This window comes from Homo sapiens, chromosome 20 (genome assembly GCF_000001405.40).
Source record: "Homo sapiens chromosome 20, GRCh38.p14 Primary Assembly".
NCBI lineage: Eukaryota > Metazoa > Chordata > Mammalia > Primates > Hominidae > Homo > Homo sapiens.
The window spans coordinates 50,471,346-50,485,684 of record NC_000020.11 but is presented as its reverse complement, the minus strand read 5'-3'; the positions used below and the strand labels follow the sequence as shown (position 1 = coordinate 50,485,684).

The 14,339-nt window shown below is 46.2% G+C and overlaps 1 pseudogene, besides 2 other annotated features; it reads right to left on the bottom strand.

Annotated features, from left to right (window-relative positions):
- Positions 1,704–1,813: an enhancer, noted in NCBI's record as "active region_18088". NCBI's record gives its function as "activates an Ori minimal core promoter by ATAC-STARR-seq in GM12878 lymphoblastoid cells {active_cell/tissue: GM12878}" and the evidence as "EXISTENCE:reporter gene assay evidence [ECO:0000049][PMID:35858748]".
- Positions 1,854–1,903: an enhancer, noted in NCBI's record as "active region_18087". NCBI's record gives its function as "activates an Ori minimal core promoter by ATAC-STARR-seq in GM12878 lymphoblastoid cells {active_cell/tissue: GM12878}" and the evidence as "EXISTENCE:reporter gene assay evidence [ECO:0000049][PMID:35858748]".
- On the bottom strand, positions 5,580–5,992 carry COX6CP2 (cytochrome c oxidase subunit 6C pseudogene 2; annotated as a pseudogene).

The following is a 14,339-nucleotide window of genomic DNA, read 5'->3' as shown; positions in this document are numbered from 1 at the left end:
GCCAGGATTGGTGAGTTGTATGATAACCGTAGGTTTAACTTTACAAACAAACAAACAAACCTGCCAAACTGTTTCCAAAGAAGCTGTACTGTAGGAGGCTGAGGCACGAGAATCCCTTGTACCCAGGAGGTGGAGGTTCCAGTGAGCCGAGATTGTGTCACTGCACCTCAACCTGGGCAACAGAGCAAGACTCTGTCTCAAAAAAAGAAAGAAAGAAAGAAAGAAAGAAAGAAAGAAAGAAAGAAAGAAAGAAAGAGAGAGAGAAAGAAAGAAAGAGGAAAGGAAGGAAGGAAGGAAGGAAGGAAAGAAAGAAAGAAAGAAAAAAAAAAACAACCAAAGAAGCTCTACCGTTGTGCATTTCCACCAGTGTATGGGAGTTCCAGTTGCTCTGCATCTTAGTCAGCACTTGATGTTGTCTGTTGTCATTTAGTTTATTTTTATTATTTTAACCATGCTGAAATGAATTTTAAAAGTAAAAGTGGCTGGGCATGGTGGCTCACGCCTGTAATCCCAGCACTTTGGGAGGCCGAGGTGGGCAGATCACCTGAGGTCAGGAGTTTGAAACTAGCCTGGCCAACATGGAGAAACCCCCGTCTCTACTAAAAATACAAAATTAGCCAGGCATGGTGGCACATCCCTACTCGGGAGGCTGAGGCAGGAGAATTGCTTGAACCTGGGAGGCGGAGGTTGCAGTGAGCTGAGATTGCACAATTGCACTCTAGCCTGGGCAACAAGACTGAAACTGTGTCAAAAAAAAAAAAAAAAAAAAGGAAAAGTGACCATGGATAAAGGCTAAAATTTATAACTCAGACTCTAAGGCCCTGTGTGAACTGAGCCCTGCCCATTTCACCAGGCCACTCTCTGTTCTCCAGTATCCTTTCAGGTCTGGCTACAGGGCCTTTGCACATGCTGTCTACTCTACTTAGGATGCCATTCCTGCTTTCTGCCTGGCTAATGCCTATTGTCACATGGATCTCGTCCTAAAGGCACTTCCTTGTGGGTATGCCTAGATTCTGTTTCCTTGTTACATGTTTTCGTATCTGCCTTTCTTATTTACCACAGTGGTTCTCAACTGGGAGTGATTTTGCCCCCCAGGGGCCATTTGACAATGTCTGGAAACATTTTTGGTTGTCAAAACCAGGGTAAGAATGCTACTGGCATCTAGTGGGTAGAGGCCAGAGACGCTGCTAAATATCCTACAATGCCCAGAACAGCCTACAGGAATGATCCAGTCAAAATTTCACTAATGCGGAGGTTGAGAAACCTGTATCACAACGTAATCAACTAATTGCTTTTTATGGCTGCCTTCCTGTTCCCATCTCACTCCCCCACTTCCCCATCTAGGCTTCCCTTACCCCCTCCTCGCCATGTGTATTTAGCTGTTTAATGCCTCCTTTTCCTGCTAGAGTATAAAGCCTAAGGGGCAAGGATTGTGTCTGTCTTGTTTTCTATATATTGCGTATCATAGGTGCTTAATAAATGTGTCAAATGAATAAAAGAGCAAATGAAAACTATCTTTCATAAAGCACATCTTTAAGGACACCAGAAAGCTTTCCTCTTGACTTCTGTCTTGGTAACTCTAAATATTATTTGGAAAAAAAATAAACAAGGTGGTGGGGAGGAGGGAGAGGGAGAGAAAAGCAGAGAAGAGGAGGACAAGGAGAAAAGGAAGAGGGAGATAGAGAACACTGTCTTTGTAGACTCAATCTGAGCTGGAATTCCAGCACTTAACTGTCACATAGTCAAGAGCAAGTCACTTTCCCTCTCTGAGCTCGTTTTTCTCAACTGTACAATGGGAATCAGAAAACGAAAGTAACTGTGCTAATGGCTGGCAACTACCCTGCACTTTATAAATGTTAGTTTTGTTCCTTTCTTCCTTTCCCCTCCTTCTCCTAAGTTTCCTGGCCAGCATCAGTGCTCACTCATCCTCCTCAGCCCACTCAAGAGAGCTGCCTGAAGCTAGATGGACAGTTCTATAAATGCTGGTGACGTATACCCAACCTCCGGCACCCGCATCTCTCTGCCCAGAGCCTGTGTGCTTCATGTGCGCATGGCAGGTCACATGTGTGGGAAGGGAAGTGTACTGGAGTTGCTGGCCCCGGGCACCACCTTCAACCGCTGAGAGTGGTCATTGCGGATAAACAGCACAGTTTCCCCAACCCTTCCTGAGACAATCTTGCGGTATACTCCACATCATCCCCTGAGGGCCCCTCTGGGACTGTGCCCCAGTTGCCCATAAAGGTAACTAGCTCTTTTTTTTGTTTGTTTGTTTGTTTTTGAGACAGAGTCTTGCCCTGTTGCCCAGACTGGAGTGCAGTGGCATGATCTTGGCTCACTACAACCTCTGCCTCCCGGGTTCAAGCAATTCTCCTGCCTCAGCCTCCCAAGTACCTGGGATTACAGGCACCCACCGTCACGCCCGGCTAATTTTTGTATTTTGTTTCACCATGTTGACTAGGCTGGTCTTGAACTCCTGACTTCAGGTGATCCGCCCTCCTCAGCCTCCCAAAGTGCTGGGATTACAGGCATGAGCCACTGCGCCTGGCCAACTGCCCAACTTCTAACTGGTAGTATGTGCATCTTTTTCTATGAGTTTTTTGGGTTTTTTCTTCTGGTTGTCAGAGTCAAGCAGCCTAAAGGAGGTTGGAGAATGAATATTCCTTCTCTTCTTTCCAGCTGCCTTCAACCAAGGAATGGATAGAGGTGGTGTATAAATACCCCAGCTTCCTGATTGTTTTGCAGTGGGCAGGTCTATGCAAACTTACCCCAAAGTCCAAGGAAGCTGAGAGGCTGAAGAGATGATGCTGACATACTCAGTTCCTTAGAAAGAAACTTTTAATAGAAACTTAGAAACAGATGCCACGTCTGTGTCTCCTGCGGTGGCCAGACAAGATGGTGGATCCCCACTCCATTATCTCCCAGACCCAGGGCTTCTATACCATAGGAGAGGGGTGGTTCAGAAGGGATGTGTAGAACAGTTGAAGTAAGATAACATCAAGGTTGTTTGACCTAAGGACAGGATATAGAGTCAGAACCTGCTCTTACACAAGGAATAATAGATAAACTAGAAATCTTAGAGGCCTTCTTGGAACAGGGGTTAATCAGAAGCCAACATGGCGGATTAGCTTCCAAGATGGAGTTGCTGATCCTTCAGGTAAGATAACTCTGAGACATGTGTTCTACACAGGTGGAATTAAGCTTCACTTGCCTAGGGCAGTAACTGTCTTGATAACTTGCTTAATATTGGTTGTCCTCCTTTCCCTGGGTCTCTTTTCTTCTCTACTCGTATTTCTTTTGCCTTCCAAAGAAGTGATGTGTCCTTGAGTCTTTGTCTCAGGGTCTGTATCTAGAGAATCTAAACTAAGATATGAGGTGTGCCAACAGGGGATTCCAAACTAAGACACTTATCAATTAGATCCAATTGCAAACGGTCTTGCTTTAAATCTCCCCAAAAGAACAGAATGGGACATGCTGTTCTTCAACTAAACAGCACTCCTGTTTACCATCTGGGGCCAAACCACGGGGCTCCTATTCCCTGAGTGGAAGGACCTCATCTTCCCATGGTATTCACAAGGCTCACACCCCACCTTTTCATACATAAATCACCCCCTTTATTTCACATGAACATCTTTGTTGTATTTTGCAGAAAGTTACCCTTACTGAAACACAGAGGACGCTCTGTTGGTAGCTTTGGAAATGGCCCTTGGGGCTCCAGCTGGGAGCATCTCATGTTCTTGTTCCTACGTAGTTACTTTCTGGGGATAGTCACACATGTTGAATGTTGGCAGGGAAGAGTTACCCTAGTCCAACACTTTCATTTGCCAAAAATAAGTTTTGAGGATGGCTGATGGGAAATCCCACAGTGCCTACCAATGGTATCATGCTACTTTATGCTGTTTTCTGAATGTTCTTTCATTTTATAACGTGAATATAATGAATGTTTGCTGATTTGGGGCCACCCTGAATCTACGGCACTCTCTTCCATGCCAAGTAACCTGAGTTTCCATTTGGGAACCACCCCTTCTGGAAGTTCGCTCCATCAGGAAGTTCCCTTGAGCCTGTAACCCAACAAGGAGCATGTGACTTAGCACCAACGAACCAGAGCAGTGGAGGTACAATAACTATGATGATTGGCTAGGTACAGTGGCTCACGCCTGTAATCCAGTGCTTTGGGAGGCTGAGGCGGGGGGATGACCTGAGGTCAGGAGTTCGAGACCAGCCTGGACAACATGGTGAAACCCCGTCTCTACTAAAAATACTAAAATTAGCCGGGTATGGTGGCGGGAGCCTGTAATCCCAGCTACTTGGGAGGCTGAGGCAGGAAAATTGCTTGAACCTGGGAGGTGGAGGTTGCAGTGAGCCAAGATTGCACCACTGCACTGCAGCCTGGGTGACAGAGCGAGACTCCGTCTCAAACAAACAAACAAACAAAAAAACTACGATGATTGGCTTAGAGATGGGTATGTGGCACAGATTGGTTCAATCAGAGTTCATCTCAGGATTTGTTTAGTAGCTACTAAGAAGGCATGCTTTCTCTTGCTCCTCGTGAGCTTAGAGTGGTTGGGCAGCTAACAAATGCACTTGGCTAACTGAACATCTCAATTCCAGAGGAGCTGTTTATTCCCCCAGCTCTCCTGTTGGGTCACCATGGTCTACTGTGTCCCTTGACTGAAGGATGACACAGCTTCTGTCAGGTAGCCTCTCTGTAGAGCTCCCTCTCTCTGGACCTGGAGACCACTTCTTCCTTTGCTCCTCCAGGCCACTGTTACTATGTGGGGGTGCTAAGGACCCCTCTGTTACTATCTAGCTGTGATAAACTCCCTTTGTTACTATCGCTGGAGTGATGCAGCATCCCTGGGTTCTGTAAATCCCACCTACATTTTGTTATTGTTGTTGTTAATTGTTTATTTATCAAGAGAAACTATTTCTTTTTTCTTTTTTTTCTTTCTTTTTTTTTTTTTTGAAACAGTCTTGCTCCATTGCCCAGGCTGGAGTGCAATGATGGCACAATCTCGGCTCACTGCAACCTCCGCCTCCCAGGTTCAAGTGATTCTCCTGCCTCAGCCTCCTGAGTAGCTGGGATTACAGGCGCACGCCACCACACCTGGCTAATTATTTCTCGTATTTTTAGTAGAGATGGGGTTTCACCATGTTGGCCTGGCTGGTCTCGAACTCCTGACCTCGTGATCTGCCCACCTTGGCCTCCCAAAATGCTAGGATTACAGGAATGAGCCACCACACCTAGTCAAGAAACTCTTTCTTTCTTTCTTTCTTTTTTCTTTTCCTTTTTTTTTTTTTTTTTCAGACAGTCTGGCTCTGTTGCCCAGGCTGCAGGGCGGTGCTGCGATCTCAGCTCACTGCAACCTCCACCTCCCAGGTTCAAGCAATTCTTCTGCCTCGGCCTCCCAAGAAGCTGGGATTACAGGCATGCCCACCATGCCCAGCTAATTTTGTATTTTTAGTAGAGATGGGGTTTCACCATGTTGGCCAGACTGGTCTCGAACTCCTGATCTCAAGCGATCTGCCCGCCTCAGCTTCCCAAAGTGCTGGGATAACAGGCATGAGCCACCACGCCTGACCAAGAGAAACTATTTCTTAGCTGACATATTCATTCATGTTTCATAGTTCAGGAACACAAGTCAGTGACAAACTTCTAGATATTTCAACTCAAAGAAATTCTTCATATTCCAAGATCACTTTGTACTCTGAAAGATACCAGCCTTCCTCATCTCAAAATCTTTTATGGAATCATAATTTCTGTAGAAATCTGCGTATGCCTTCTTTCTTGGTTCGGCCATAGCAATCTTGTAGAAAGCTGCAACCACCAGGGATACCATGAATGCTCCAATAATATGAAATCACAGACGCTTAACCAGAAGGCTATGCATTGGAGGTTTTGTCAAAGCACCAGAAGCCATGGTAGTTACTGTCCTTGATAGGTGTGTAAACTTCAACACCAACATCCTTCCCAGCTGTTGGAGAAATGGACGGTCCCCACCTACATTTTATAGACAGTCCATTCATAAAACTCTCCTCCTGCCAGGGCACGGACTGATGTGAATCCACCTAATGGCCCTAGGCAATAGGTGCCTTTATTGTCATCCTTGTTTTACGCATCAGAAACTGAGAGACAGAGAAGCTAAGTGAGCTGCATAAAGCCACAGAGCTAGTAATTGGTGGTACTGATACGGGAGTGGGGGCAGGGAAGTGCTGGGAAGGGAAGGGCGTGGTCCCTGGGTAGGGCTTCACCCCTGGGCCTGTGCCCACGGACCTACGTGAGGACAGGCATTTCTGTTTTCCTGCACGAATGTTGCATTTCCCAAGACCACCCTGGCTTGCCACGCCCCCATCCTATGCCTATAGAAACCCCCAGACCCTAGCAGGCAGAGACACAAGTGGCTGGATGCCAAGAAGAACGCACTGGTGGAAGAAGACACAAGCGACGGCCAGGTGCGGTGGCTCACGCCTGTAATCCCAGCACTTTGGGAGGCCAAGGTGGGCAGATCACTTGAGGTCAGGAGTTTGAGACCAGCCTGGCCAACATGGTGAAACCCCATCTTTACTAAAAAAAAAAAAAAAAAAAAAAAAAAAAAAAGATACAAAAAAATTAGGCGGGCGTGGTGGCAGGTGCCTGTAGTCCCAGCTGAGGCACTAGAATCACTTGAACCCAGGAGGCAGAGGTTGCAGTGAGCCCAGATCATGCCACTGCACTCCAGCTTGAGTAACAGAGTGAGACTAAATCTCAAAAAAAAAAAAAAAAAAAAAAGACACAAGCAACTAGACCTGGAGAAGAAGGAACTGGCATGAGAGCACACCATCAGGCACCGGCAGATGCCAGCAGGCCATCGACCGGTGGAACAACTTGGAGTTTGGCTGGGGTGGTGGGAGGAGAGCCTGGGCCACTCAGCGGCCCAGGTCCAGGGGAAAATCGCCTTCCCACTCCATCCCCTTTGGCTCCCCCATCTGCTGAGAGCTACCTCCACTCAATAAAACCTTGCGTTCATTCTCCAAGCCTACGTGTGATCCAGTTCTTCAGGTACGCCAAGGCAAGAAACCCCAGGATACAGATAGCCCTCTGTCCTTGAGATAAGGCAAGGGGTCTAATTGAGCTAACACAAGCTGTCTATGGACGGTTAAACGAAAAGAGCACCCTGGAACACACGCCCACTGGGGCCTCAGGAGCTGTAAACATTCACGCCTAGACGCTGCGTGGCCAGAGTCCCACACCCTGCCCGTCTGCCTGCTCCCCCTAGGGGTTTTGAGCAGCGAAGCACTGAGGAAGTGAGCCACACCCCCATCGCATGCCCTTCGAGGAGGATAAGGGAACTTTTCCTGTGTCAGTACCAGTGTTTGAACCAACGTCTGTCTGGCTGCAGAAACCATATTCTTCGCCAGTGCGTAGGCCTTGGTACCTTAGAAATGCGGGGAGAGGGACCAGGTTGTGGATTCACTCCTAACTCATCATTAACCTGCTGAGGACCTCAGTTTCCTCATCTTTTTGGTTAAGGACCAGTCCAGGAGTTGCAAACTCAAATGCCTACAGGGATCAAGAAGTGACATAAATGAAGGCAATGAACTGTTTCATTGTTGTGAAGAAACGTATTTTCTCGTTTCTTTTTCTTTTCTTTTTTGAGACGGAGTTTCACTCTTGTCACCCAGGCTGGAGTGCAATGGCGCGATCTCAGCTCACTGCAACCTCTGCCTCCCGGGTCCTGGTTCAAGCGATTCTCCTGCGTCAGCCTCCCGAGTAGCTGGGATTACAGGCATGCGCCACCATGCCCAGCTAATTTTGCATTTTTAGTAGAGACGGGGTTTCTCCATGTTGGTCAGGCTGGTCTCAAACTCCCAGCCTCAGGTGATCTGCCCGCCTCGGCCTCCCGAAGTGCTGGGATTATAGGCAAGAGCCAGCATGTCCCAGGCCTTTTTTTTTTTTTTTTCTTTAAACATATGGCCCTCTTAGTCTATCTTTCCTTTCTCCATTAGCATAGAGAACTGGGCACAGAGACAAATCATTTAGAAACTGCACTTGGCTGACAGTAACAGAGACTTGATTTCAGTGACTTAAACATATTAGAGATTTATTTCTTTCACATAAAACCATGTCTGAAAATCTGCATTCCAAAGAACAGATATGGCAATTCTATGATGTTTTCGGGGATCCCATTTCCTTCCATCTTTAGCATAGAACCTCCCTCCTCAAGGTCACAGAATGGCTGCTCAAACTCCAGCCATCATGTTTATATTCTAGGAAGATTGGCAAGACACCAAAGGGCTTTCTTGGAAACCCCAACATCAACTTCCACTTATCATGCATTGGCCATTCAATCGGGCACTACTGACATTTTGGACTGCATAATTCTTTGTTGTGGGAGGGAGACCTGGGGATTGGAGGGCTGTCTAGCAGTACCCTGACCTCTACCCACCCACCAGATATCAGTAGAGCACTCCCTGCCTCCCTCCCTGCCCCTGTTGTGGTAACCAAAACTGTCTTCCAAGACTTTGCCAGATGTCCTCTGGGGGACAAAATCACCTCTGACTGAGAAACACTGGGCAATTCTTAGCTTCAAGAGAAACTGGGAAATGTTATTTCAAAATTCATTGCCAATAGTGTAGGAGTTTCTATAAGTAAGAAAGAAGTAGAGGTTGGACATATGGATGGCAAATAACAGTCTTGCCCCAAGAGAACTCATTCAGTTTCCTTTTAATTCTACTTAAACAAAAACAGTGACCCAAGAGTGATGATGAACAGTGTCAGGCTATAATAGGGAAGGGTGGGGACTGTGGCACACTGAGAGCCAAGGACCCATCTAAAGGAGGTACAGGATTTTTGTGAGCAGCATTTTACCCATAAGATACAAGTTTGCAACATTTAGTCTATACAATTTCAAAACATGTACTATGGAAAATTTCAAACATCATCTAGAAAAATAGAGTCATATAACTAACTCTCCAGTATCCACCTTCAGCAATTATCCACATTCATTTTGTCAATTTCATCGTAAGCCTTTTGTCACTTCACCAGTAGTTGATACTAAGTTGTTCTTTTTTTTTTTTTTTCTGAAACCACCATGCTATTAGCACACCTTCCAAAATTAACAATGACATCTTACTATGAACCAGGTGATTTTTTTTTCTTTTTTTCAGACAGAGTCTTGTTCTGTGGCCCAGGCTGGAGTGCAGTGGCACAATCTTAGCTCACTGCAATCTCTGCCTCCCGGGTTCAAGCAATTCTCCTGCCTCAGCCTCCCGAGTATCTGGGATTACAGGCATGCGCCAGCACACCCAGCTAATTTTTGTATTTTTAGTAGAGATGGGATTTTGCCATGTTGGCCAGGCTAGTCTTGAACTCCTGACCTCAAGTGATCTGCCTGCCTCGGCCTCCCAAAGTGCTGGGATTACAGGTGTGAGCCACCATCCGTGGCCTATTTTTATTTTTTTTAGAGAGGGTCTCACTATGTTGCCCAGGCTGATTTCGAACTTCTAGGCTCAAGCAATCCTCCTGCCTCGGCCTCCTAAAGTGCTAGGATTACAGGCGTGAGCCACCACGCCCGGCCGTCGATCACTTCTTCAAGGATGTGGCACATGCCTTGAATTTAGACCTGCTAGCACTTCAAGCTGGGCGGGAACTAGGGACTGCCGGGTTCCCACCCACCTCCTGCCATCTCCCTTGTGCTGACTCATTTTTGACCCTGAACTTGTTCATTCACCCAGGCCTTTGCTTTCTTTTGTGCAAAACAAGGAGAACAATTCCAACTCGCCTCCCGACAATGAGGCAGGAGCAGTGTAATTGAAGGACTGCACATGCCCTGTGCACGTATTAAAGTACTTAATAATTACTGCAAAAATAGCAGCAGTGATGAGGTGATTATAAGCCCCAGCAGAAGCCCCGCATAAACAAAGAGGTCCAGAAAGGGCTCTCATGTTCTTAATGTTCTGACTCTAGACAATCTAAGACCCACAGCCCACAGCCCTCCTGGCCCTGAATCCTTACATTTGCCTTCTATTAATACAGGAAGACGTTTTTGGTGGCCTGACAAGAGAAAAGGTTCAAAGTCCAAATTCCCCATTTGTGCCATTAAGGGAGAAAGATATTTTGCAGCTTGGTTCCTAAATTAGAAGATGATTCCCAAATCATCTTCTAATTAAATGTCTCTCTTTATCTCTGCACCTTTTATATTGCTGCTGACACAGCTTTGGAGCCGGGTGGTGCTCAGGGTCAAGGGGAGGCGGGGTGATACATTCCTTTTTTTTTTTTTTTTTTTTTAGCTCACTGCAAACTTCACTTCCTGGGTTCAAGTGATTCTACTGCCTCAGCCTCCCCAGCAGCCGGGATTACAGGCATGCACCACCTTGCCTGGCTAATTTTTGTATTTTTAGTAGAGACGGGGTTTCACCATGTTGGCCAGGCTTGTCTTGAACTCCCGGCCTCAGGTGATCCACCCGCCTTGGCCTCCCAAAGTGCTGGGATTATAGGCATGAGCCACCGTGCCCGGCCAGATGATACATTCTTTAGGTGCACGCTTGGAGATGCCCAAACAGGCCTCTGGCTCCTGCCATGCCCTGCAGAGGACACTCTTAAAATATCCAGGGGACAGATGCTATTTTTGAGGTGCAGCTTAAAGGCTGCCTTGTGGCCCCTACATAATCTGCTGCCACTCTGAGCTTGCTTCAAAATAGATCTTGCCTTGCCTTTTGTGCTTCCAGGAAACTTGGTTTCTCAGTTTTTACTTTCATCACGAGTTAGATTTGCTGATTCTACAAGTCCATATAAATGGCATTAGACAGCCGAGCACGGTGGCTCACGCCTGTAATCCCAGCACTTTGGGAAGCTGAGGTGGGCGGATCACGAGGTCAGGAGATCGAGACCATCCTGGCCAACACAGTGAAACCCTGTCTCTACTAAAAATACAAAAAATTAGCTGGGCGTGGTGGCACGTGCCTGTAGCCCCAGCTACTTGGGAGGCTGAGGCAGGAGAATTGCTTGAACCTGGGAGGCAGAGGTTGCAGTGAGCCGACATCGCGCCACTGCACTCCAGCCTGGGCAACAGAACAAGACTTCATCTCAATAAATAAATAAATAAAATGAATAAATGGCATTAGACAATATGTACTCCTTGGTGTCTGGCTTCTGTTGCGCAACAGAATGTCTGTGAGATTCATTTGTGTGGGCTGTATCAGTAGTTTGTTCATTTTCATTCTTTTAATATATGTGTGTATATATATACATATGCACACTAAAATAATGTATACTAATAATATATTTAGACTATTTTAGTAGACTTCCCAGATTATAGATTAAATAATATATTTGTATATTTGTAATATATTTGTATGTATACATACATATATACACATACATATATATATATAGTAAACATTTATCCATTTATCCATTCTGCTGTGGATAGTAAACATTTATCCATTCTGCTGTTGAACACTTGGGCCACTTCCAGTTTTGAGTTATTATGAATAAAGCTGCTATGAACATTTTTATTTTATTTATTTTATTTTATTTTATTTTATTTTATTTATTTTATTTTTGAGACAGAGTCTTGCTCTGTTGCCCAGGCTGGAGTGCAGTGGCACGATCTCGGCTCACTGCAGCCTCTGTCTCCCGGGTTCAAGCAATTCTTCTGCCTCAGCCTCCCTAGTAGCTGGGATTACAGGCATACACCACTACGCCCAGCTAATTTTTGTATTTTTACTAGAGACAGTTTCATCACATTGCCCAGGCTGGTCTCAAACTCCTGGCCTCAAGTGATCTGCCCACCTCAGCCTCCCAAAGTGCTGGGATTACAGGTGTGAGCCATCGTGCCTGGCGTTTTATTTTTTATTTTTATGCCCTGCCCTTTTCCCACTCCCCACCCTCACCATGACCCTAGGCGGGGTTGGGGAAGTGGAGAGAGAGGGGGAAGTTGCCACTCAGATGTTTATTGACTTCTCAACCTTAACACACCCCACCCTGGGGTACCCAAGCGAAATCTGGGCCCCTTTCTCTAGCCTTCCCAGCCCAGTAGCCTCCATAGCCACCCATGTGGCCACGTAAGCCAGAATTCAGCCTTGAGTCTTCCTTGAGTCTGCTCTGTTACCCCTCCTGGGCCACATCCAACTCATCCATTGCAATTTCAAACTGTCTTCAATCTGCCTGCTCGTTTTCACCACTGCCACCTCTCAGGTGCAGCCACCCGCTCCCTGTCCCTCCCTCAGGGAACTGTCCAGCCTGCTAATCAGTCTCCTGACTTGCGTCTTGCCTTCCTCCAGTAGTTTCTCCAAATGGCAGCAAGATGCTTTTAAAATGGAAATCAGATCATCTTCTTTTGAATGTCTTCCCACTGCATTTGGACTCAAGACCAGACTCCTAAGTGGTGATCTACAAGGCTCAGCAGCCTCAGGCCACCACTTGTCACATGTCATCCTTCCCAGGCACACTCTTAGTTCCTGAAATACACCAACCTCTTTTTCAGCTTGGGGCCTTTTGCATATGCTGTTCCTTCCCACAATCAGTTATTAGTCCATTGCATATCTTTCTAAGATGGTTTATGCATGTACAAGCAAATGTGAATATATATTCTGTTCCTCCCCATTCCCTTAAAATGTTATGCGTCCATGCTGTGTGTGAATAAATCTGTAGGATGAACTCCTAAAAGCAGAATTGCCTTGGTAACAGCTATGGTCATTTTAAACTTAATGAATAATGCCAAAGTCCTCTTCATGTGGAGTCGCATCAGTTTGCGTGTGCTCATTTTCTGACACCCTTACCAACACAGTGGATTGTCAATTTGAGACTTTGGTTAAACCAGTGCAATGGTGGGGGCGGGGTGGTGGTAGGAAATGGTATCTCATTTCTCTTTTTATACATGCAATTGAGCTTTTTTTTTTTTAGTCGGAGTTTCACTCTTGTTGCCCAGGCAGGAGTGCAATGGTGTGACCTTGGCTCACTGGAACCTCCGCCTCCCGGGTTCAAGCGACTCTCCTGCCTCAGCCTCCCAAGTAGCTGGGATTACAAGCATGCACCACTACACCTGGCTAATTTTGTATTTTTAGTAGAGACAGGGCTTCTCTATGTTGGTCAGGCTGGTCTTGAACTCCCAACCTCGGGTGATCCGCCCTCCTCGGCCTCCCAAAGTGCTGGCGTGAGCCACTGTGCCTGGCCAAAACTGAGCATCTTTTGGTATGCTTAAGAGCCATTTGCTTTTTCCTCTTTTTGATCTTTTTTTGACCATTTTCCCACTGATTTGTTGGTCTTTTCTTTTCTTTTGAGACAGGATCTCGCTCTGATGCCCAGGCTGGAGTGCAGTGGCATGATCATGGCTCACTGCAGCCTCAACTTCTTGGGCTCAAGTGATTCTCCCACCTCAGCCTCCCCAGTACCTGGGACTATAGGCATGCATCACCATGCCTGGCCAATTTTTGTATTTTTTGTAGAGATGGGGTTTTGCCATTTTGCCAGGCTATTCTCGAACTCCTGGGCTCAAGCAATCCACCCACCTAGGCCTCCCAAAGTGCTCGGATTACAGGTGTGAGCTACCGCGCCTGACCTAAAACATTTGTTAATTTGCCCTTCTTCTCTCACCCTCTAAGATGTTAGCTCCTTGAGGGCAGGGACCACACACATCTTGTTCACCATTGTATTCCCAGCAGCTTCCACAGTGCCTTGCACACAGGAGGTGTTCATGGTGGACATCTGTAGTTGTTTACACCTTCTTTTTTTTTTTTTTTTGAGGTGGAGTTTTGCTCTTGTTACCCAGGCTGGAGTGCAATGGCGCAATCTCAGCTCACTGCAACCTCCGCCTCCTGGGCTCAAGTGATTCTCCTGACTCAGCCTCCTGAGTAGCTGGGATTACAGGTGCGCACCACCATGCCCAGCTAATTTTGTATTTTTAGTAGGAACAGGGTTTCACCATGTTGGCCAGGCTGGTCTTGAACTCCTGGCTTCAAGTGATCCACCCACCTTGGCCTCCCAAAGTGCTGGGATTACAGGCGTGAGCCACCGCGCCTGGCTGCTTCTAGAAAATTTTTATGCCTATGCGAGTATATTTATATGTATATGCCAACATATTGTTTCACTTTTCATTTACAAAAATGATTCTACTATGCATTCTGTTCTGTCCCTTCACTTTTTCATTTAGTAATATCCTCAATCAATGACTCAGAGGAAAATGGATGAGGGATATGTACACACAAGTACACAGAAAAGGAAATACAAATAGCTCATAAACATGTGAAAGGATGTTCAACTTCCTTTATAATAAGAAAAATGCAAATTAAAAGTACACAGAGATCATTTCTCGCCTATCAGATTGGCAAAAATCCAAAAGTCTGATAACACACTGTGTTGG